This window comes from Homo sapiens, chromosome 21 (assembly GCF_000001405.40).
Source record: "Homo sapiens chromosome 21, GRCh38.p14 Primary Assembly".
In the NCBI taxonomy this organism is placed as follows: Eukaryota; Metazoa; Chordata; class Mammalia; order Primates; family Hominidae; genus Homo; species Homo sapiens.
In genome coordinates, this window is record NC_000021.9 from 27,415,847 (window position 1) to 27,441,507 (window position 25,661).

The 25,661-nt window shown below is 38.2% G+C and overlaps 1 long non-coding RNA gene and 1 pseudogene across 2 annotated transcripts in view; both read right to left on the reverse strand.

Annotated features, from left to right (window-relative positions):
• Window positions 1-25,661, reverse strand: part of LOC105372762 (uncharacterized) — a 54,823-nt gene that overhangs the window by 22,029 nt on the left and 7,133 nt on the right. The window contains exon 2 of one of the 2 annotated variants that reach the window (XR_001754990.2): window positions 12,178-13,000. The exons of the other annotated variant lie outside the window; for it this stretch is intronic. This is a non-coding gene — a long non-coding RNA (uncharacterized LOC105372762). Of the gene's footprint in view, window positions 1-12,177; window positions 13,001-25,661 lie in introns of those variants that run through there. 2 annotated transcript variants of the gene reach the window in all.
• On the reverse strand, window positions 4,472-5,218 carry RPL10P1 (ribosomal protein L10 pseudogene 1; annotated as a pseudogene).

Sequence of the window (25,661 nt, forward strand, 5' to 3'; positions counted from 1 at the left end):
TATGTTCTTCAGTCCCAGAATTCCTGTTTTGTTCTTTTTTTATAGTTTCTATTTTTTTGTTAAACTTCTAACTTTGTTCATGTATTTTTTTTAATGATTTTATTTGGTTGTTTTCTTCTGTAGTTCACTGAGCTTCTTTAAGAGGATTATTTTGAATTATTTGTCAGGCAGTTCATACATCTCTATTTTTTAGGGCTAGTTACTAGTTCTTTTATTTTTTTCTCTTTTAGTTATGTCAGATTTCCCTGATTATTTGACTTTTTTTTTTGTCTTGCATTATGATCTATGTATTTGAAGAAGTAAGCACCTCTTCCAGTGTTTTTTTTTTTTTTTTTTTTTTTTTTTAAACGGAGTCTCACTCTGTCACCCAGGCTGGAGTGCAGTGGTGCAATCTCTGCTCACTGCAAGCTCCGCCTCCGGGGTTCATGCCATTCTCCTGCCTCAGCCTCCTGAGTAGCTGGGACTACAGGCGCCTGCCACCATGCCTGCCTAATTTTTTTTTGTATTTTTAGTAGAGACAGGGTTTCACCGTGTTAGCCAGGATGGTCTCGATCTCCTGACCTCGTGATCCACCCACCTCAGACTCCCAAAGTGCTGGGATTGCAGGCAGGAACCACCACGCCCGGCCTCATCTCTTCTAGTCTTTACAGACAGGCTTCAGCAAAGAGAGTCCTTCACCAAGCAGCCCATGTAGAGATTCTGAGCAGGATGTTTCTGGGATATCTGTGTACACTTGCTGCTGGAGTCCTTGAAACAGCTGGCCTGGTACCTCAATAAGCAGATGAGTAGCCCTGGCTTTGGGTCCACTAGGTGCAGCCTGATGCCTGGGTCTGCAGGAGTAGGCAGACATGGAATTTGGGTTTGCGTAGATGGGCCTAGTGCCTCAGTGCACAGGGGTAAGCCTGAAGCTTGGGTCTACAGGTATAAGCCTGGATCCTGGGTACATGGGGTCTAGTGTGTTGCTGGGGTCCACTGGGGTGGACCTAGTAACTGTGTTCATGGTTACAGGACTGGAGTCTAAGTCCATTGGGATGGGCCCAGAGCCCGAGTCTATGAAGGCAGGTATGGGGCCAACATCTACAGGGGCTGGCCTGAATCCTGAGGCTGCAGGAGCTAGCCTGGCACTGGGGTGGGTCTGAAAGCTGGCCCTGAAGGGGCATGGTGGCGAAGACCACAGTAAAGTCATGTGTTAACTTCACTCTTCTTCCGCTCTGTGGAGGATATCACTGTTGGCACTGTGCTGTGCGAAACAGGCTTGGGGGAGAGGAGATGTGAGTAATGTGAAACTGTCCTTACTCCCATCTTCAATCCATCTTTCTTTATTTCTGTACTTTACCCAGGTGTTGTAATCTGTCATATGGATTCCTTAGCTCTTGGCAAAGTATTTTCATGCATGGATGGTTGTTTAAATTGATGTTTCTGTGAGGAGTGCTGGAAACTTCCTTTTCATTATCTTGCCGATGTTACTCCTTCAACATTATTTTTAACCACAGAAAGAACAGAAGCTAAAATATTAATATTTCATTTACTATAGTGTATACATAGAAGATTATTATGTATTTGTTCTTATCAGAATTTGTTTACTTTTTAATGTGCTAAGGGATTATCAATGGGGGAACAATTACTTTTACTAGGTTAGAGATTTATTTGTCATCAAATTAGTTGCCAAGATTTATGGTAATTTAAAATATGTCATAATTTTAAGGGGATAAATAGCATGACCATATGCAGTAGTTTGGGGTTTGTTAGTAGGATGATGAAGCATTTGATGTAACTGGAAATAGATAGTTAAACATGAACTATAATAATGAAAACATAATTTGCATGGGAGGTGCAAAAACCTGATGGCTACTACAAAAATCTAGCATAATGTTCTTACGTACTGACTGTGGAGCCCAGAGCCCCCTGGGCAACAGATGTTGACTGTTTCATGATAAGAAAACATGCTATAAAGTATAAAATAAAGTGCTTGGCAATGAGATGGCTTATATTTGTATTTAACTGTGGTCCTAAGATATTGTGAATGGTTGTTTTCCTAAACCTGGGATATTGTGATTATATTTCAAAATGTGTGGAGCTGATTTTAAGTATTATGAAATTTTTGCACTTAATAGTAAAATTAACAGCCACTAAAATTACTTTTCAAATGGAATTTGATAAAGAAACTTATTTACCCTTTTCTGTTTTCTCAACCTATATTAATGTTAAATGATAGAGCTCCTAGTTCTCTAGAATTACTCAATAGATCATGGTTATATTTGTAGTTTGCTTTGGGTGGGATTTTAGATTAGACTTTACTTGAAGTAGCAGTATGCCTTCTTTTAAGAAGCCATTAAACTTCATTCACTTTCTATATAAATATTTATAATTCAATGATTATTTGTTATTTTGGTTAATGTTGAAGGATAGTAATGGTATTGGCATATTTCCCACTGAAACTAATACTATATATTTAAGTACTCGTCAAAGTAAAAGGCCTTCTTTTAATAACTGAGTGCATCTATTCATTTATTTTATAATAATAGATTTCAAAAAGGGCCAGAAGTCCCAGCTCTATTTTACCAAGGATAGCCAAATGGATTTACCAATGGATATCCAAATTGGTTAAGTGGCTTGTCCAAGTTCAGCAAACATGCTGAAGTTCACTGCTTTTTAAGCTTCCCTAAAATGACCCAGCCCTCATAAATGCTTATAAAGCTTTAATCCAAAACATCTTTGGCATGTCTTCTAAGAAAGAGCTTTGAAAAAAATGTAAGTGTGCTGCAATAATGATGTACTCAGCTTTTTCTTTTCCCAGAAGTTTTAGTATATGACGGAAATGAGTTCTAATATCAGAATTATATTTTTATTTGAAAAGCTTTAGTTTGATTATTTGTATTTTACATAGTAAGCTATAATAATTCTCATGACTCACATGTATAAATATATAACATTCAAAATTGTCAAAGGCGGTAGTGAATGGGTCATTTAAGAAGTACAATAACATATATATTCTATGAAAGACAAAACACTTATGGATGAAATGAACAACAAAATCAAAGTTAAGTATCAAAAGAGAAAAGGAGTTAGAGAAATATTTTAATAGAAGTACCTTTTCAGTTTAATATTTCAAATGTAATTTTAAAATAAAAAACTACAAAAATGTATATTTCAGAAAGTATATGGTAGTTTTCAAATCTTTTAAAAAGAAGCAATTGACAAACTGTGGGCCAGGTAAAACCTGGGTGTAAAAGGAAAGTTAGTTTGCTGCCCATAAGGAGATTAATAACTTTGTGGGGTAAAAGAGACATTGAGCAGCAGTGTATTAGAGTTCATATTACAGAGGAACTGGAGATTTTGTAAGGTGTCCCATTTTTCTCTGTCACGGATAAGAATATTTTGATAATAGTGAAATTCTGATCACATCACAAGATGTATTTCTGGTGTTGAAACAAGACAATTAACTGGCTTTGGAAAAGACTTGGATAGTTTTCAAACTACCCACGTATAATAACAGGAAAACTGCATAGACAAAGAAGTCGATGGGGAGAAAAAATAAACACAGTGTAAGCTTAGCACCAGAGATTGCAGGTCATGAGGATCTGTGTAGTGAGCCACACAGTAAAATAAATACAATCTAAACAAATAAAGCATAGTGCATTCATTTAAATACTTTAAAATATTTAAAATAAATAAATGAAGCATAGTGTATTTGTTGGTTAGTGAGAAAAAGTAGCAGGAAAGGTGACTCTGAATAATATAGATATTAAGTTATGAAGTGTGAGGCCATCTCTAATATGTTAATAACATGAACACATACTAATCCATCATTGCCATGTTGAATGAACTTTCCAAAGGGTTCATTCCTTTACCTTTCTGTAGAGAGGTGGCTGTCAGTTTCCACTTTCTGAAGTTTTCAAATGTTCTTTCTCTCTTTCTCTTTCCCTCTTTCGATACAAAAGGAAGTATTGGAAGAAATGTCCTCAAAAATGTTTTGAGTTCACAGCAACTTTATCAAACACAAAAATAAATAAATAAATAAATAAATAAATAACTGGAAATATTGTTATGAGGTCAATTTTCCATTTATCAAAATTTCCTTTCTTGACAAACACAATTCACTGGTCATTTTAAGTTTTAAGGAAAGTGCTGTATTTAATGGCTCATGCATATTTTCATTGCTTGAAGTAGTCCATAGTTTATTGATTGCATATTCTTTCTCTTCAGCAAAATGGCAGTACATTGATGAAGAACATGGGATCCCGTGGGTTAACACCACACTAGATGTAACCTAACACTCTTAGATGCTCGATGTGTAGGCCAGAGCCTCCTAGTCTATAATGTGAGTAGGACATATACTATACAGCATGAGATAAAGTTTAAACAAGTTAGTGTTCAACTGTAGGATCTCAGAGCAATCTAAAGCACTGAGGTTGCCTAGGGACAAACATTTTCATGAATTCTATTTATTTATTTATTTATTTTTATTTTTTAGATGGACAGGAAGTAGGATTTATTGGTGAGTATTAAGAGGGGGAAGCACAGTGGAAGCCCTCATGAGTGCGGGGCCTGCCACTTGTCCAGAGGGCCATGACTAGGGATGTAGGCGACCCCACAGCCATCTGGGATGAGCTGCTTCTCAGCCACCATGTCTTCAGATTCATTCGCATTGAATTTGGTGAAGCCCCACTTCTTTGAGATGTGGATCTTCTGGCGGCCAGGGAACTTGAACTTGGCCCTGCGTAGGGCGTCAATCACATGCTCCTTGTTCTGCAGCTTGGTGAGGATCGACATGATAACTTGGCCAATACAAACCCCGGCCACAGTGCCCTGGGGCTTTCCAAAGGCACCTCGCATGCCTATTTGAGCCTGTCAGCCCCAGCACAGGACAACGTCTTGTTGATGCGGATGACGTGGAAGGAGTGGAGCCACACCCGGATATGGAAGCCATCTTTGCCACAGCTTTTTACCATGTACTTATTGGCACAAATTCGGGCAGCCTCCAGGGCTTCAGAGGACAGCTGCTCAAATTCATCTGACACCATGTGGCCATAAAGCGGAAACTCATCCACTTTTACCTTCTTCCGCCCCAGGTCAAAGATGCGAATCTTGACATCAAGGACACCTTGGCAGAAGCGAGACTTTGGGTACGGCTTGTTCTTACAATACCGGTAACAACCCGCGGGGCGGCGGCCCATGGCGACACCAGGATCTTCAGTAGTGCTCTCAAGGGAAAGAGAGCATGAATTCTTATTAATATAATAATTTATGTACTTTACCTCAATTTATTTTTATTTTTTATGTTTAATTGACAAATAGAAGTGTTATATGCATATTTTTTTTTCTTTTTTTTTTTTTTTGAGACGGAGTCTTGCTCTGTTGCCCAGGCTGGAATGCAGGGGCGCAATCTCGGCTCACTGCAAGCTCCGCCTCCTGGGTTCACGTCATTCTCCTGCCTCAGCCTCCCAAGTAGCTGGGACTACAGGTGCCTGCCACCAAGCCAGGCTAATTTTCTTTTTTTTTTTCGTATTTTTAGTAGAGAGAAGGTTTCACTGTGTTAGCCAGGATGGTCTCGATCTCCTGACCTCGTGATCTGCCCGCCTCGGCCTCCCAAAGTGCTGGGGTTACAGGCCTGAGCCACCACGCCCGGCTGAATTGTATATATTTATGCTGTACAACATGTACAATATATATCCAACATATATCTTGGGTATATATCTAGACACTATGGAATGGCAGAATCAGGCTAATTATCATATTCCATTTCCTCACACACTTACCATTTTTGTGGTGACAGCACTTAAAATCTACCCTTTTGGCACATAGTACATTGCTGTTAAGTATGATCACTGAGTCCTGAACTTATTGCTCCTAACTGAAATTTTAAAATTGATTTCTTTCTTATCTTCCTGTCTTTACTTGGAAGCCAACTATTGTTTTTCTTGGCTTTTAAATGATGGGTGGCATGCTAATCTGAGGTCCGTTTTGCAAGTTCTTGAGAACAGATTACCCAAGGAAACAACAACCATATTCCCTAGTGTCTTATGATGTAACCAGTGGAATGGTACCCATGGGAGGAGAGGGAAGAGGTAAAAACTTGGTTGTGGACCTCAGCTCATGCAATTTTGCTCTGTCGTGGGGACCCTCTACTGTTCGGCTTTCCAGTGTTACTGTGTGTATTCTTTTATATGCTGAGGAAGTTGTAGGAAAGTAAGGAAAATAAAACACTTTTTTTTTTTTTGAGACAGAATCTTGCTCTATGCCCCAGGCTGGAGTGCAGTGGCACAATTTCAGCTCACTACAGCCTCCACCTCCTGGGTTCAAGGGATTCTCCTGTCTCAGCCTCCTGAATAGCTGGGACTACAGGCGCCCACCACCACACCTGGCTAATTTTCGTATTTTTTCGGTAGAGATGGGGTTTCACCATGTTGGCCAGGCTGGTCTTGAACTCCTTGACCTCAATTGGTTCACCCATCTCAGCCTCCCAAAGTGCTGGGATTACAGGTGTGAGCCACTGTGACTGGCCTGTTCGTTTTTTACATCAGCATATCTGTTACTCCCCACTAAGGATGAGGAACTTCGCACTGGAGCAAGATGATTAGGAGAAAAATGAATCTGCTTTGCCACCTAGTTTGGGGGGAATTGATGGAGCACACACTTCTGAGGGACACATGATCTCTTTCTCAGCAGTAACTTGCTAATGCTGTACCAGCTTTCAGCTTGTCTGGAAATGGCAAGAGTGTTTTATGAGTGTCTTATGGACACAATGAATCAGCTTTACCTCAAAATAAAAGTTAAAAAAAAATACATTCTGGCTTACCCCATGATACAATGCTAAGTGCATTCATAGGCACACACACGGAGTCTTTCTGTCTAAAAAACAGCACTGTGTTTACATCCTGCCACCTATCTCAGAGGGACTGACTAAGACTTGGAAAACTCTGATGATATCCTTTAATCTTTTCCTTAATATGGGAATATAGTGTTTAATCTTTGTACCTTTTTATATAAGTTTTCATCTGAAATGGTTTTTTTTCAAATGTATTTCTCTTAGGTTGGGTGCATGGTGGCACAATATCATGCCTTATTATTTAACGTTCACATCTCCCTCCCAATAATTTAAACCATCCAAATATTTGTTGATAATTTTCGTATTCCCATTTCATGTTTGCACAGCCAAATAACACATGTAAAATTCCTTTAATCTCTCCATACAAAATAAATCCTCCATTGCTTTAATTATTCCTAGTAGTGCTTTCTGAACTTTTACCAGCCTTGCTTGGCAGAATTATGGTGAGAAAGTTGAATCCAGGCTGTCAGTAGCAAAGTGTTTGCCATGCTATTATCCTTGGCAACTGCAGGCCTCCTCCAGGCTACAAAACAGCTCAGTGCCTACCTCCTTTTCCCTGCTTTCTACTGGCCTACAAATTCCAGCTGTGGTCAGCTGGTGAGCTCTGAGCTACAGGGACGGCGTGGCGCATGTTTTGGGCTTGACTCAGGGATCATGTAATGTTGGGACAGTGAACTTTCCGATGGGAGCCAATAACACCCATGGTTGTTTTCACCTCCTGACCAGAATGTCTCAACTTAATTCAATCATCTGAACATCAATGAGGGTGACTGGAAAAAATTTTTTATCACAGCACTAAAATAAAAGCAATTCCAAGATGTTTTCTTTTCCATTGCACATTTTCAGAGCTTTGATTTTCCTGGTAAAATGCTCTTTGCATGTGCCATGTTCCCAGATTAGGAGAAGATGATACCCAAGGGAGAAGAGGTAAAAATGCACATAAATAATTTTACACCATGACACCGTGGTTAAGGCTTTCAAGGATGCTTTTAATGATGCTATGTGCCATGGTTTTAAAAGTCACTATCAAGTTATTTATTTGTATATATTTTGTTTCCTCTTAAAAACTCTTTAAATAAATAAAAGAGGAGAAATTGTACAAATTTCTTCTTTTACTGTGTACCTACTCTTGCTTTGTGTTTATGAGTGAAGAGAGATGGGGAACATACAGAATATTAAGTGGTATATTTAAGATACTTGTTCATTTTAAGATTTAGGCTTGCAATTTAGGTGTGCCTAATTTGTCTGCTTTGGGAGCTCAAAGGTCAAGTTGCCACCGCAATTAAGCATCAATATTCCTTAATTTGAAGTGTTAAAAAATATGTGTGTGTGAGCGTGTGCATATCTGTGTTCAACTGTCTGCCTTTATTAGTTTTCTAGTCCTGCTGTACATAACACATCACTATAGACTTACCACCTTAAATACATAGGTCCAAAGTCTGACACTGATTTCATTACTGGCAACAGGTTCTTTGATATGAGGCAAAAAGAGTTTTCCCAGACAAGTCTTCACTGGAGCTTGTGCCAGGGCATAAGGGAGACAGCAAGAGAGAAAGAGAGAGAATTCCCTAATTCCACTAGAAGAGCTGTAGGGCTTTTTTGTTAGGCAAAGCATGGAAATTGACATGCAAGTTGGGCTGGACAAAGCACATAAAGGGTAGAGCACAGGCTAGCATTATCTGGTTGCAATGGTTGAGTAATGAACCATCTGGTGGTCTGGCCAGTGGCAACAAGGCTGCATTCCTTCCTGAGGTGGGACACTCTGCAACCTTGGTTATCTCCTAAGGCCAGTTCCTGGAATTCTTTAAGTAAAGACATGTTTAAATGGTGATGTAAGTGAGGTAATGGTGTGAGTTCTGTGATCAGTGAGAATGCATAAAAGACTCCGCTAGGTGACTTGAAACTGAGCTTCGTCTCCAATCTGCCTCGGTTTCTCTGGATTAAAATTGAGGTATCAGAAGAGTGGGGCTTCTTACCAGAGACAGTGGGAAAGGATGAAGCTATTGACAGAATTCAGTTTCTTGTGGTTGTAGGCATGAGGTTCCCATCTCCTTGTACTCTGTCAGCTGGGAACTGGTTGTATTTCCTAGAATTCTCTTTCCAGTCCTTGTTTGTGGCCACCTCCTATCTAGAACCAGCAGAGGCATGTGGAAGTTGAATGGTTCTCATATTTGGAAGCTGTGTGACTTCCCCTTCTGCCTTCCTCTTTCACCACATCTCTCTGACACCAGGCAGGGAAAATTCCCTGCTTTGAAGGGCTCATGTGATCAGATTGTGTCTCTCCAGATAATTAAAAAAAAAAAAAAAAAAAAATCCCTACTTTGAAGTCTGTAACCTAAAAATTACCCTATATTAAAGCCTGTGTCCTAACATTTTATCTGCAATCATTTTTTTGTTATTGTTGTTGTTCGTTGGTTTCTTTCTTTCCTCTTCCTTCCTTCCTTTCTTCCTTCCTTCCTTCTTTCTTCCTTCCTCCTTCCTTCCTTCCTCCTTCCTTCCTTCCTTCCCCCTCCCTCCCTTTCTTTCTTTCTTTCTTTCTTTCTTCCTTTCTTCTTTTCTTTTCTTTTTTTTTTTGCCATGTACTATAAGCAGCTATTTACAGGTTCTAGGGATTTGGTCATGGATTTTTCTGTGTGTGTGGCAGAAAGGGGGCACTATTTAGCCTAAGACTTTCCAGCATCCTCTTTCTCTCTCTCACCCTCTTTCTCTGCAACATGGCCTCAAGAGCAAGAAAAAAGATAAGATGCCGAGTCAGAAAAACCTGACTTCAAAATTCTTTCCCCTACCAGCAGCTCACTAATTACCCAGCTGGTAATTTGATAACAGGAATTTTCTTCATCCTTTCAAAGATTTGTTTCATTTCTTGTTGTCGTATTTACTTCATCAGGTAATTGTAAAATTGATGATATAGTCAGATGTCTGCATCTAGTGCTATGCCTGGCATACGGCATGGGAGGGTGCACTTTTAATCCAATTTTATTTCAGAGGAACCATTGTACATCCTGTTTCTTATCAAAAGTTGCTTCATGGCAGTTACCCCAGGTCACTGAGACCAAGCCAGGGCTGTCATTCTCAGAGGGGGAGATGGAAGGGAGTGATACAGGGGAGGGCCTAGCAGGCAAAGGAAGTTGGAAACTGTCCTCTGTAAGCCCAGCACGTGGGAAGCAGCTGGGTGCATTAATTTCACCTTTGTCATCCCTGGCATTGAAAAACCACAACCAGCTTACACGGAAAGGATTCTCAAATGGAACTTTCTCAAATTTATGGTGAAAAACACTAGGAAACTGCTTTGAATTGAAGCATGGCGCTGATGGTTATCCAGTTCATCCTCTCTGCTAAAGCCATTTGACTCTCATGTGCTTAATAAGAGATCCTTGGAAACATTAAGTGCTATCCAAGAAGCAAAAATAAAGCAGAACAACCAAAACAAAATGAAAACAAAAAATAAGAGCAATAACCTGCATGGTAATAGGAGAAAATTTTATTTTTTATCTATTTTCTTCAAATCTTGCTTATAGGTAAAAGAGAAAATTATTTGAGTAAATATAATGCATTCCCTAAAGAAACAAAAAAGATACTCAGAGGTCCTCTGAAACCCAGCTCCCCATCTTCTTATTAGACTATGACTGAACATTTGCCCAATTGGACATATCACACCCTCTGGCTAGAATGTGGTATTTACATTGTTATAAATAAATTGACATGTGTGTATAGCTCTGGTGGGGGGACCGTGGACAATAGAGCACATACTGTTCCTGAGTTCATCTCATGTTCCCTCAGTCAGTTTCAGTCAGAGATGAATGTTCATTTAATCAGGAAATTTTATCTTGTCTTTAAAAGCCTTGGCAACTGTAAATGAGGGGAGATCTAAGATTAGTAATGTACTCTGACAAACTCTTCTTTTTAAAAATTATGTCAGATTTTCCAGAGCAGGATTTCAGTTTTCTTCTACAAAGTTTATTCTTAGCTTATACAAAATAGGCTTACTCTAAAACCCTAATCATGAAGTAGTACATTCAGATAATAGGGAAATTAAAATATATCAAAATGAAACAGCAGAAAGTAAACATGCCATCCTTATTTTATGTCACTGGAAAAAAGTGTGTGTGTGTGTGTGTGTGTTTAGCACTAGCATGTGGCATTACAGGACATTTAGGTTACCATTTAAAATTTCTCTAACAAATTATGGTAATAACCATTTATTGAATCTAACAAAATGACTTCTTTTGAAACATGGTAGCCTGAGCTTAATTGTCTGTCATCATCTCTATCTAAACCCCTATAAAAAATTTCTGTCTCACAACTTTTTTTTTGTGAAATGCTTAAGTTCAATTATTTTTAATTTTGTTTGCTTTTTAATAAATATATTGAAGGTTAATTTTATTTTAATAACTACCTTAGTCATATCACATACATTTTGAAAGGCAACGTATTCATTTCTAAATAATCTTTCCGTGATAATACTTATTTTTCAACTGCAAGTTTATTGGAAGAGTGTTATTTAAAAAGATTGTAGGGGTTGTAACTATCTGTTTACCCCTTCATTCATCGAGCTATCCATCAATGCAAGCATCAGTCTTCCAAATCAGTACTATTTATCTCTATCATTTCTTGTGTATATTTTGTTGTTAATTCTATTTTGACTCTATTGTACTCAGAGAATATATATTTGTGCTACATGTAGCACAAAAAACAATGAGTTGAACAACACAGTTTAGAAATGCTAAAGCAGAAATAAAGGTTTTTCAAGTTGTATCTCACAAATCTATAATAATAATGGAAGAAAATCCATAGCCCTTTTAGTATCAATAGTTGAACTTTATATTCTCTGAGTACAATAGAGTCAAAATAGAATTAACAACAAAATATACACAAGAAATATATATTCCCCCTAGCCTCAACTCCTCAGGCTCTGATAACCACGGTTTTGCTCTCTACTGCTGTGACACCAGCTTTTTTAGATTCCACAAATGCGTAAGATCATGTGGTACTTTTCTTTCTGTGCCTGGCTTATTTCACTTAATGTCATACAGGTTCATCTATGTTAATGCAAAAGACAAGATTTCATTCCATTTTATGGCTGAGTAGTATTCTTTGTGAATCTATATCTATACCACATTTTGAATGGAACTTGTAGTTTCTTTTAACTATTGATTAAAAAGTTAGAATTAAATGCGAAAAGTAAACGTATATATGATGTATACATGTATGTATGATGTTTGTATATATGTATACATATATATAATAATGTGAGTGCCATTTTAAAAGATTGTCTCTAAATATTGGGTCGTGTTACAAAGTAAACCTCAAGGAATTAGAAGTAAACATTTAAGACAGGCCGCACAATTAAATTTTGTATCTTTATTTTAGTGACTAAATATCTTGCTTCACAGCTTTCCAGCCTTAGTAAATGGGTGGTTGATTCAAGCTAAATTCAACATATTTAAATTTAAATTTCTTATCACAGAGCCATCTTTGTTTATCCTATTTTCTCCCACTCACTATTTTGTGCTTTGTAATTACTTACTACAGGAAACTGCACCTAATATGTATGGTACTTTATACAACTGAGTACTTTCTACCAAATCCCGTGAATGAAGCCAGGTTCTATTTATCTTCAATTACATAACTTAGGAAATATGAGGGATATTTTATATCTTCTACCAATTTATATTATTCCATCCATTCCTTCATTCAGCAAATACCCATTGAGTGCCTATGATTTGTCAGTGTTATGTTTCTGTGTCTTAATTTTCTTCAAAATATTTTGGTTCATGCAGAGTCGGAGCCTCACCAGACACCAAACCTGCCAGCATCTTGATCTTGGACTTCTCAGCCTCTAGAACTGTGAATAATAAATTTCTACTATTTATAAATCACTCTGTTTTTGGTGATTTATTATAGCTACATATGGTTAATACAGATGGACTAAGATATTCATGTTTACCCTGCTTCAGATAGAGAATTTTGGTGAATAGATTGTAAACTGAAGGAAGACTTTAGAGTCAAAAACGGAACCAGCGTGGGTCAATACTGTGAGTTGAGTTGATTTGGGCTTGAATACAAACCACCCTTCCAAAGGTGAGGTCAGGTGCACTCTCAGAGCCCCTCAGTTGAATATCATCCTGTGGCCCAACTCCAGAAGGAGACCTTTAATCCTCCCCAAGAAATCTGGGACAAGGGAAAAAAACAAAAAGGAAAAATCCATATTTTCAAACTTTTTACAAGTGACCTCTGATTTCCCCTTACTTTTCACATTCATTCATTTTTCTAGGTAGATCTAACAAATTACTTGTCAAAAATAAATCAGCAGTCAATAGTGCTAATTTAATGGCTGCATATTTACAGTCAACGTATGAGTTGAGATTTCCCTTATCATTCAGTTTATGGTCCTAAAAGTCTTTTTAAAGATATGCCACATAGTAAAATTGAAGATTGTTCTCTTTAGGGATGCAAATATGTAGAAAAGGTAAACAGAGTTCCCTTTTCAGTGAAAACTAGCCAGAAATAAAGCAAGTACTAATAATATACAAGAGCAGATTAACTCAAAGGTAGGTTTGTACCAGTCAGTTAAGTAGAAGTCATATTATCTGACTTTATCATTCTTCCCTCTAAGGATGTGGCGACAAATATATATATATATTAGCTTGTTTAACACACATATATATATACACATATGTGTGTGTGTATATATATATTTAGTGTGTGTGATGGGTAATCGTATGTGTCAATTTGACTGAATTAATGGATGCCCGTATCACTGGTAAAATATTATTTCTGGGTGTGTTTGTGAGGATATTCCCAGAAGAGATTAGCATTTGAATAGGTAGACTGAGTTAAAAAGATCTTCCCTCACTAATGTGGCTGTGGAGGGTGGGGTAGAGGGGGGCAGGGCATCATCTAATCCATCCAGGGTCCACCAGAATAGAACAAAAAGGCAGAGAAGATGGATGTCCCAGCTCTCTCCTTGAGAGGATGAGATTATCATTGAAAATCTCTTCTTGAGCTGGGACATCCATCTTCTCCTGCTCTTGAACAGCTGAGTTCCTCCTTGTTCTCAAGCCTTTGGACACTAGGCCTTATGCTAACAGCATTCCTAGTATTCGTGACTTCAGTCTTGGACTGGGAATTATGCCATCAGTTCCCCTGGTTCTCAGGCCTTTGAACTCTGACTGAATTACTTCACCAGCTTTCCTGGTTCTCCAACTTGCAGATGGTAGATCGTGGAACTTCTTGACCTCCATAATCATGTGAGCCAATTCCCATAATAAATCTCCTCTATATATCTATATATATCCTATTGGTTCTGTTTCTCTGGAGAATCCTGACTAATAAAGTATGCACACCAGCTTGCTCCATATTTATTCCCTTTGCACAGTTCATGCTGAACAGAGCTTCTTTAACTCTAATGTGGAAGAATTTCAAAGTGCTTAATGATTTACAAAAAATGCATTGTGCTGACATTACAGTGGCCAAAATTTTTCCCAGTTCTCATAGACTCAAGGCCAAGAAAATCTCACTGGTGTGATTAGAAATGAAAGGAAATTCTTAGAATCACTAAATAGTTGAAAAAGTATAGACCTGCTGGATTGTCGTTGCCCCTGTGAGTCACATTTCTATAATTAGGTCAGCATGCAGTTCTAAAAAAAATGGAGACAACTCAAATAAAATAAAATAAAGGCTTGAAGGAAGTTGGCTTGTGCAGAACACCAACTCACATGATTTTAATGTTCACACTATAAAGTAAATCAATGTTTGCACAAGCTGTAGGAAAAATTGTTAAATAACCACTCTAAAGAAGGCAATCTAGACATACAATTATGTGTGCCATTATTGAAGGGGTTAACCAGGGACCCAATCTGGGGGCCTTGAAGAGAAGTGAAAAATAGAATTCTCCAAGAATCAAACACACAGAATGGAAACATACAGTTCCCATTTGTATTAATTATGACTTTTTTGGTTGCAAGCAACAGATTCTTCTTATAGCTTGTTTAACTACCGTAGGGGATATGGTATAATAACACAAGGTTGCCACACATGGATAGGGATGAATCTGGGCTCCTGAAGAGATTTGAATCAGTGGCTAAGGTTAAAAGTTAAAATGTAAAATAGACATATATGAGTGCATCTATGAAGTAGTGAGATTAGACAGATGAATTTATGAGTTTTCGATTTGTTAGATTGAAAACATAAATTTGGGTATCTGTAAAGCCATAAAACTGTACAGGATTAACTCAGGAGAGTATTTAGATGGAGAATAAAAATGATTAAGTTCTGTGTGCTGAGGTCCTCCATCATTTTGGGCTCAGAAAAAGGAGGATAATCTCACAAAGGAGATGAAGAGAGAGAAGTAGGTGAGATAGGAGAAAGGCTGAGAGGCTGAGATTTCCTGAAAATCTAATGCAAAAAGTTTTCAAGAAGAAGGAAGTGATAAACGCTAACAACTACTGTATTGAAGTGGAGTGAATTGGGACTAAGAGTTTTGGGGTTAACAAGATAGAAGTTTGTGAAAATTTCGACAATCACATTTTCAGTGGCATAAGGGACGTAAAAGCCTGGCTGGGGGCTTTAAATAAAATGGAAGTGGTGGCAGTCAAATATTGATTTCTTTTTGAGGATTTTTGCTACAAGAATGGGAGTTAGGTAATAGACAGAGAGAAATGTGGAACCAAGGGAATGTTTGTTTTTGGTTTTGGTTGTTGTTGCTCTTGCTTTGTGTATTATTTCTATTTTTAATAGAGGAGAGAGTAATGAGTATCTGTATGCTGTTAGAAGTGATCCAAGATAAAGAAAAACCTAATTATGGAAGAGATAGAAGAGTCATTGCAAGAGTAAAGTTCTTGGCTGGGCGTGGTGGCTCACGCCTGTAATCCCAGCACTTTGGGAGGCTGAGGCGGGCGGATCACGAGGTCAGGAGATCGAGACCATCCTGGCTAACACGGTGAAACCCCGTCTCTACTAAAAATACAAAAAAAAAAAAAAAAATTAGCTGGGTGTGGTGGTGGGCGCCTATAGTCCCAGCTACTCAGGAGGCTGAGGCAGGAGAATGGCATGAACCCAGGAGGCAGAGCTTGCAGCGAGCTGAGATAGCGCCACTGCCCTCCAGCCTGGGCGAGAGAGCAAGACTCCATCTCAAAAAAAAAAAAAAAGAGTAAAGTTCTTAAGCTGATGAAAAGGTAAAGAATAAAAGGAAACAAGTGAGGAGGGAAAATGGGTCTGAGGAACAGGGAAGTACTTCTTTTTATTATTATTATATTTTAAGTTCTAGGGTACATGTACACAACATGCAGGTTTGTTACACATGTATACATGTGCCATGTTGATGTGCTGCACCCATTAACTCGTCATTTACATTAAGTATTTCTCCTAATGCTATCCCTACCCACTCCCCCCACCCCACGACAGGTGTGTGATGTTCCCTGCCCTGTGTCCAAGTGTTCCCATTGTTCAATTCCCACCTATGAATGAGAACATGCAGTGTTTGGCCTTCCGTTCCTGTGACAGTTTGCTGAGAAGGATGGTTTCCAGCTTCATCCATGTCCCTACAAAGGACATGAACTCATCATTTTTTATGTCTCTATGGTATTCCATGGTGTGTATGTGCCACATTTTCTTAATCCAGTCTATCATTGATGGACATTTGGGTTGGATCCAAGTCTTTGCTGTTGTGAGTAGTGCCACAATAGTGGATTGGTTCCAAGTCTTTGCTATTGTGAATAGAGCTGCAATAAACATACGTGTGCATGTGTCTTTATAGCAGCATGATTTATAATCCTTTGGGTATATACCCAGTAATGGGATTGCTGGGTCAAATGGTATTTCTAGTTCTAGATGCTTGAGGAATCGCCACAGTGTCTTCCACAATGGCTGAACTAGTTCACACTCCCACCAACACTGTAAAAGTGTTCCTGTTTCTCCAGCACCTGTTGTTTCCTGACTTTTTAATGATCGCCATTCTAACTGGTGTGAGATGGTATCTCATTGTGGTTTTGATTTGCATTTCTCTGATGGCCAGTGATGATGAGCATTTTTTCATGTGTCTGTTGGCTGCATAAATGTCTTCTTTTGAGAAGTGTCTGTTCATATCCTTTGCTCACTTTTTGATGGGGTTGTTTGATTTTTTCCTGTAAATTTGTTTAAGTTCCTTGTAGATTCTGGATATTAGGCCTTTGTCAGATGGGGAGACTGCAAAAATCTTCTCCCATTCTGTAGGTTGCCTGTTCACTCTGATGGTAGTTTCTTTTGCTGTGCAGAAGCTCTTTAGTTTAATTAGATCCCATTTGTCAATTTTGGCTTTTGTTGCCATTGCTTTTGGTGTTTTAGTCATGAAGTCCTTGCCCACTCCTATGTCCTGAATGATATTGCCTAGGTTTCCTTCTAGGGTTTTTATGGTTTTAGGTCTAACATGTAAGTCTTTAATCCATCTTGAATTAATTTTTGTATAAGGTGTAAGGAAGGGATCCAGTTTCAGCTTTCTACACATGGCTAGCCAGTTTTCCCAGCACCATTTATTAAATAGGGAATCCTCTCCCCATTTCTTGTTTTTCTCAGGTTTGTCAAAGATCAGATGGTTGTAGATGTGTGGTATTATTTCTGTGGGCTCTATTCTGTTCCATTGGCCTATATCTCTGTTTTGGTACCAGTACCATGTTGTTTTGGATACTGCAGACTTGTAGTATAGTTTGAAGTCAGGTAGCATGATGCCTCCAGCTTTGTTCTTTCGGCTTAGGATTGTCTTGGCAATGCGTACTCTCTTTTGGTTCCCCATGAACTTTAAAGTAGTTTTTTCCAATTCTGTGAAGAAAGTCGTTGGTAGCTTGATGGGGATGGCATTGAATCTATAAATTACCTTGGGCAGTATGGCCATTTTCACGATATTGATTCTTCCTATCCATGAGCATGGAATGTTCTTCCATTTGTTTGTGTCCTCTTTTATTTCGTTGAGCAGTGGTTTGCAGTTCTCCTTGAAGAGGTCCTTCACATCCCTTGTAAGTTGGATTCCTAGGTATTTTATTCTCTTTGTAGCAATTGTGAATGGGAGTTCACTCATGATTTGGCCCTCTGTTTGTCTGTTATTGGTGTATAGGAATGCTTGTGATTTTTGCACTTTAATTTTGTATCCTGAGACTTTGCTGAAGTTGCTCATCAGCTTAAGGAGATTTTGGGCTGAGACGGTGGGGTTTTCTAAATATATAATCATGTCATCTGCAAAGAGGACAATCTGACTTCCTCATTTCCTAATTGAATACCCTTTATTTCTTTCTCTTGCCTGATTGCCCTGGCCAGAACTTCCAACACTATGTTGAATAGGAGTGGTGAGAGAGGGCATCCCTGTCTTATGCCAGTTTTCACAGGGAATGCTTCCAAGTTTTGCCCATTCAGTAAGACATTGGCTGTGGGTTTGTCATAAATAGCTCTTATTATTTAGAGATACATTCCATCAATACCTAGTTTGTTGAGAGTTTTTAGCATGAAGGCTGTTGAATTTTGGTGAAGGCCTTTTCTGCATCTATGGAGATAATCATATGGTTTTTGTCTTTGGTTCTGTTTATATGGTGGATTACATTTATTGATTTGCATATGTTGAACTAGCCTTGCATCCTAGGGATTAAGCCCACTTGATCGTGGTGGCTAAGCTTTTTGATGTGCTGCTGGATTTGGTTTGCTAGTGTTTGACTGAGGATTTTTGCATCAATGTTCATCAGGGATATTTGTCCAAAATTCTCTTTTTTTAATTGTGTCTCTTTCAGGCTTTGGTGTCAGGATGATGCTGGCCTCATAAGATGAGTTAGGGAGGATTCCCTCTTTTTCTATTGATTGGAATAGTTTCAGAAGGAATGGTATCAGCTCCTCTTTGTACCTCTGGTAGAATTCGGCTGTGAATCTGTCTGGTCCTGGACTCTTTTTTGGTTGGTAAGCTTTTAATTATTGCCTCAATTTCAGAGCCTGTTATTGGTCCATTCAGGGATTCAACTTCTTCCTGGTTTAGTCTTGGGAGAGTGTATGTGTCCAGGAATTTATCCATTTATTCTAGATTTTCTAGCTTATTTGCATAGAAGTGTTTATAGTATTCTCTGATGATAGTTCGTATTTCTGTGGGATCGGTGGTGATATCCCCTTTATCATTTTTTATTGCATCTACTTGATTCTTCTCTCTTCTTATTAGTCTTGCTAGCGGTCTACCTACTTTGTTGATCTCTTCAGAAAACTAGCTCCTGGATTCACTGATTTTTTGAAGGGTTTTTTTGTGTCTCTATCTCCTTCAGTTCTGCTCTGATCTTAGTTATTTCCTGCCTTCTGCTAGCCTCTGAATGTGTTTACTCTTGCTTCTCTAGTTCTTTTAATTTTGATGTTAGGGTGTCGGTTTTAGATCTTTCCTGCTTTCTTTTGTTGGCATTTAGTGCTATAAATTTCCCTCTACACACTGCTTTAAATGTGTCCCAGAGATTCTGGTATGTTGTGTCTTTGTTCTCATTGGTTTCAAAGAACATCTTTATTTCTGCCTTCATTTTGTTATGTAACCAGTAGTCACTCAGGAGCAGGTTGTTGTTTTCCATATAGTTGTGCAATTTTGAGTGAGTTTCTTAATCCTGAGTTCTAATTTGATTGCATTGTGGTCTGAGAGACAGTTTATTATGATTTCTGTTCTTTTACATTTGCTGGAGTGCTTTACTTTCAACTATGTGGTCAATTTTGGAATAAGTGTGATGTGGTGCTGAGAAGAATGTATATTCTGTTGATTTGGGGTGGAGGCTTCTGTAGATGTCTATTAGGGGTGGAGACTTCTATAGATGTCTATTAGATCTGCTTGGTGCAGAGCTGAGTTCAAGTCCTGGATATCCTTGTTAACTTCCTGTCTCATTGACCTGTCTAATGTTGACAGTGGGGTGTTAAAGTCTCCCATTATTATTGTATGGGAGTCTAAGTCTCTTTGTAGGTCTCTAAGGACTTGCTTTATGAATCTGGGTGCTCCTGTATTGGGTGCATATATATTTAGGATAGTTAGCTCTTCTTGTTGAATTTATCCCTTTACCATTATGTAATGGTCTTCTTTGCCTCTTTTGATCTTTGTTGGTTTAAAGTCTGTTTTATCAGAGACTGGGATTGCAACCCCTGCTTTTTTGTGTTTTCCATTTGCTTGGTAGGTCTTCCTCCATCCGTTTATTTTGAGCCTATGTGTGTCTCTGCACATGAGATGGGTCTCCTGTAAACAACAACACACTGATGGGTCTTGACTCTTTATCTACTTTGCCAGTCTGTGTCTTTTAATTAGGGCATTTAGCCCATTTACATTTAAGGTTAATATTGTTATGTGTGAATTTGATCCTGTCATTATGATGTTAGCTGGTTATTTTGCTTATTAGTTGATGCAGTTTCTTCCTAGCATCAATGGTCTTTACAATTTGGCATGTTTTTGCAGTGGCTGGTACCAGTTTTTCCTTTCCATGTTTAGTGCTTCCTTCAGGATCTCTTGTAAGGCAGGCCTGGTGGTGACAAAATCTCTCAGCATTTGCTTGTCTGTAAAGGATTTTATTCCTCCTTCACTTATGAAGCTTATTTTGGCTGAATATGAAATTCTGGGTTGAAAATTCTTTTCTTTAAGAATGTTGAATATTGGCTCCCACTCTCTTCTGGCTTGTAGAGTTTGTGCTGAAAGATCCACTGTTAGTCTGATGGGCTTCCCTTTGTGAGTAACCCGACCTTTCTCTCTGGCTGCCCTTAACATTTTTTCCTTCATTTCAACCTTGGTGAATCTGACAACTATATGTCTTGGGGTTGCTCTTCTTGAGGAGTATCTCTGTGGCGTTCTCTATATTTCCTCAATTTGAATGTTAGCCTGCCTTGCTAGGTTAGGGAAGTTCTCCTGGGATAATACCCTGAAGAGTGTTTTCCAACTTGGTTCCATTTTCCCCATCACTTTCAGGTACACCAATCAATCATAGGTTTGGTCTTTTCACAAAGTCCCACATTTCTTGGAGGCTTTGTTCGTTTCTTTTTACTCTTTTTTCTCTAAACTTCTCTTCCTGCTTCATTTCATTCATTTGATCTTCAATCACTGATATCCTTTCTTCCACTTGATCGAATTACATACACTACCTGAAGCTTGTGTATGCATCAGGTAGTTCTTGTGCCATGGTTTTCAGCTTCATCAGGTCATTTAAATTATTCTCTGCACTGTTTATTCTAGTTAGACATTCGTCTAATCTTTTTTCAAGGTTTTAACTTCCTTGAGATGGGTTTGAACATCCTCCTTTAGCTTGGAGAAGTTTGTTATTACCGATCTTCTGAAACCTACTTCTGTCGGTTCGTCAAAGTCATTCTCTGTCCAGCTTTGTTCCATTGCTGGTGAGGAGCTGAGATCCTTTGAAGGAGAAGTGGTCCTCTGGTTTTTAGAATTTTCAGCTTTTCTGTTCTGGTTTCTCCCCATCTTTGTGGTTTTATCTACCTTTGGTCTTTGATGATGGTGACCTACAGATGGGGTTTTGGTGTGGATGTCCTTTTTGTTGATGTTGATGCTATTCCTTTCAGAACAGGGAAGTGCTTTTAAAGAAGAAAAAGAAGAGAGACAATGAATATAGGAACAGAAATATAATCAAAGTTGGCAGAGAAATAGAGGCTGTTCTACGAGAAAACAATGATGCAAAGAAAGAGAAAAGGAGAGATAAGAAATGGAGAGAGAGATGTTTTTAATAAAGGACACTTCATTTTCCTTTGCAAACCTGCTCTACTCACTCTTTCCTATCTCAGTGAAAAGCTCTATTATTCACTGAGGTATGAAGCCATAAAATTATAGTCAACCTTTCCTGACTCTACACATCCAATCCATCAGCATGTCCTTTTTGAATTACCTTCAAGATACCTTAAATTTCCACAATTACCACCATTTCTCAGCTATCTCTGTAGTCCCAGCAACCAACCTCTTTAACCTGATTACTGCAACAATTCTTCAAAAACCTTACATGGAGTAACTCTTAGCCCTTTACAACTCCATTGTCTACATAATACGTGAAACAATGTTTTACAAAAGCAATTCAGATTCTATCATTCTAATGTTCAAAACTTGGAGAGGCTTACAGTCATCCTTTGAATAAATCCCAAACTCCTTAGCATGGTGTCAAGGCCTAGCATTAACTGGCATTTTCCTACCTCTTTGAACTAACTTCTTACCTTGCTCCTCTGATCAGTGCTTTTCTGTGATGCTCTAACACACAATTTCTGCCTCAGGACCTTTACAATTGCTGTTCTGTCTATCTAAGATGCTCTTCACCTGGCTGTCTGCATTATTACGTCCTTTATGTCATCCACGTCTTAATTTAAATGTCATCTCTTATAGAGGCTTATCTGACCCAGCTTTCCACAGGATTCTTCTTTCCCTAGACTGTGCTATCTTAACACCCTCATTTATTGCCTTCATAGTCCTCATCACATTTAATCCTTGAGTGTTTAAATCCTCATTTCCTCTATCCTCCATAGCTGCATAAATTCAATGAGGTCTGAGACTCCTCCTTTACAAAGACTTCCCAATTTAATACAAAGTAGATACTTAGACGTGTTGGTTGAAAGATGGATGGATGAAAGGAGAAAGGAAGAAAGAAGAAAAAAAATGAACATTTTCAAGGGTGGATTTGAATTTTGAAAGCCAAAACTCATTTGGAATTTCTAATGTAAATGTACTTCATAATCATGCTGAATAGCTGAAAAATCAAGGTGAAATATGACACTGACTTTCTTGAGACTAATATCATATTTGAAGAAATTTTAAAAATTATTATAAATTGAAATATATTTTAGAAATAACTTTATATACATAAGTGTTTTTAGAAAACGACATATATAGGTGTAAAAGGTAATAAAATTAAAATACTTTGACTCATGTTACTCTTGTTCTTAAATTCCTTCAATGACAGTACAACCAGCAAATGCTTGAAACTCTCTAATATAAAGTTGTTTATTGTGCATTTTTAGCTTATCTCTCCTGCTTTATCTCTAGTTACACATTCCTTGTATTTTGTGATCTGACCATGGATAATTAGCCCCCTTCTGACTGCTATTCCCTTCTCATCAATCCATGGATGGTTTATCTAGCCCATTTTTATCTCAAAACTCAATTCATATATCACTTCTGCCTGTAACTTTTACCAACTGGACACCCTTCCAGTCTAGATATGAGACTTTGCACTTGGCTCCCAAGGCATGGTGCATAGAACACCCTCAGCCTGTAGCCTTCTCCTCTCCTCTTTCTCAGTTCGTCTTTCTTCAGGATACAGATGCTGATATGGTTGTTCAGACTTCAGGACATGTGGGTGGAGTCTATTCAGACAAGTTTGTACTCCCCTCCCAAGAAAAAGCTACCTCTTTTTTTCCTACATTTTCAAGCTTCATACTGCATTTTTTTCAGAATTGCCAATAGTAGCCTTATGGTTGTGAATGTGGAGAAAAGAAGCATTGCTACATTTGGGGGCTTATGTCATGTACTGCGATGTGATTTCTAGAATACTTTTACATGGGGTATTCTTTAAAGACTCAGTTAACACGCTCATTTGCTATTTTTTCTGTGCATGTGCTTCAAGTATCCAGAGAAGAAAAGGGAAAGCATAATTGTCAGAGATGTTTAGATGTTTAGAGTTAGAACTGATTTACTACATTGTATCAATATTCCCTTGAGGGTCACCATTTTCCTTACATTATTGGTCAATGTAATTCCAAGGTCTACAACTGAACTAAGTTCTACTGGGAACTCAATATAGTTTGGTTGAATGAAAGACTGGTTCAATGAATACATGAAAATGTTCTATGTATTCTATATGAAGATGTTTTAAAATTGTGCTGTTTTTTGTTGTTTATTTACTTGTTTGGTTAATTTGTTTAATGACTTCATTACCTTCTCTTTAGCCGGAATCTGTCCAAGAGAATTTCCTTTTAGGCTTTAAAGCTGAATGTATTGGAAGCATTTGAAACTACTTATAAGTCTAATAATGACCAACAGAATTGCCTGTTATTTATTTTCTTCAAAAATTTTAAATGTGATATTTAAACATATTAAAAGTAGTTAAACTGTTTCCTAGTTACATGTTTTTTGCTTAGTTAGGAAGGTTTTATGCTTTTGTTAACCTTCAAAAGCAAAGGAACAACTGTGTTGTCTGGTTTAGGTGAGATAAATTCCAGCTTTCTGCTCCTTAATTTTGTCATTTGTACAATAAACAAATGATATAACCTATTTCATACAGTGATTTCGAGGATTAAATAATATTATTAAATCACATAATATTTAGTGTTATTTGCTAACGTTCTTACCATAGTTCCCTAAATATACTAAAACTTAAAGTTTGTCATTGCCCAATCATAAACTGGCCAATTAGCAGCTTGATGATAAAACAGAAGTAGATGTTTTTAATTAAAATTAGACTATAAATATAGACTTTAAAATTTTTATTATGAGTTAAAATAAATTCAATAAATGAATTGGGAATGAAATACATATAGGCAAAGATTTAATTCTAACTGAAATCTGAACATTTGCCCTATTGATATGCACAGGAGACAGGGAAATACTGTGTAGAAGAGAGCTGTTCCCTGGAAAAGGCCCTACCCTCCAGCCTGAAGACCCAAGTCCCTAAATGAGGACAGGCATTTCTGTTTTCATGCCCCAAAAGTTGCCTTTTGGCCTGCCATACCCCCTACCCTGCACCCATATAATCCCTGAAACCCAGGCAAGCCAGCAGATCAGCAGATGGACGGACAGCAGAATGATGTGGCAGAGAAAGAGAGAAGAGGAGGAACATTTGAATGCCAAGAGGAGTTCGACTGGGGGTGGTTGGAGAGGAATCCAGCTGCTGGGTGACCCTCTTCCAGGGGAAGACCACCTTTTCACTCCATCCCCCACCTTCCATCTCCCCATCTATCCCATCAAAAGCCACCTCCAGGTGAAGACCACCTTCTCACTTGATCCCCACCTTCCAGCTCCCCCTCCATCCTACTGAAAGCCACCTCCATCACTCAAAATCTCACATTTATCCTTCAAGCCCGAGTGTGACCTGATTTTTTCTGGGATAATGCACAAAAGCTCAGGATACAGAAAGCTTTCACAGTGGCCCTCTGCCCTTTTGTAAGGGCAGAGGGTCCATTGAGTTGATTAATACTCAAGCTGTCTGTGGGTGGCAAAGCTGAAAGAGCTTTGGGGTTGTAGGCACCCACTCGTAGACATTACCTTGGGGCTAGACCCCAAAGCACTCACCCCCAGCCTCTGCCTGTCTCCATGATCCCCCTCCCACCAAGGATTTAAGCAGTAGGTGACTAAACATGCCAGCCACACCCCTGTCCTTAAAGGGGGAATGCTCCCATTTCACTATCTTCTGAAATGCAAATGTAACACGCAGCTCCTTCAGCTCCCAATCTTTCTCCTATATCTTTTATTCTACACAACCCTAAGAAAGACATTTTAATGTTTAAGGGAGGAACTCAACAAAGGAATCTATAATTTATTTAAAATAAATGCATTTTTACACGTAAGACTTAAAAACCCCATGTCTGTGTCATATATACCACTTTAAAGTGACATATTGTACTTGAGTTTATTTATAGAGAACATTTGTATGAAATGAGAGTAATGATAATTATTGCCTATCTTAGACTGCTTCTTCTGATAGCAATAGCCTCTTATGAGTGGAAGTCAACAGATGAATTTACAAAGCCCACAAAATCTTACAAAACCATCTTTCCTTTACCTAATCTAAATCTGACAGAGGTTTTAGTCTAAATGTCATTTTTATAGAGCATAGCTATGTATTACCCTACCTTCAACCCTTTCATTTTATTTTTAACTTTATTTTTA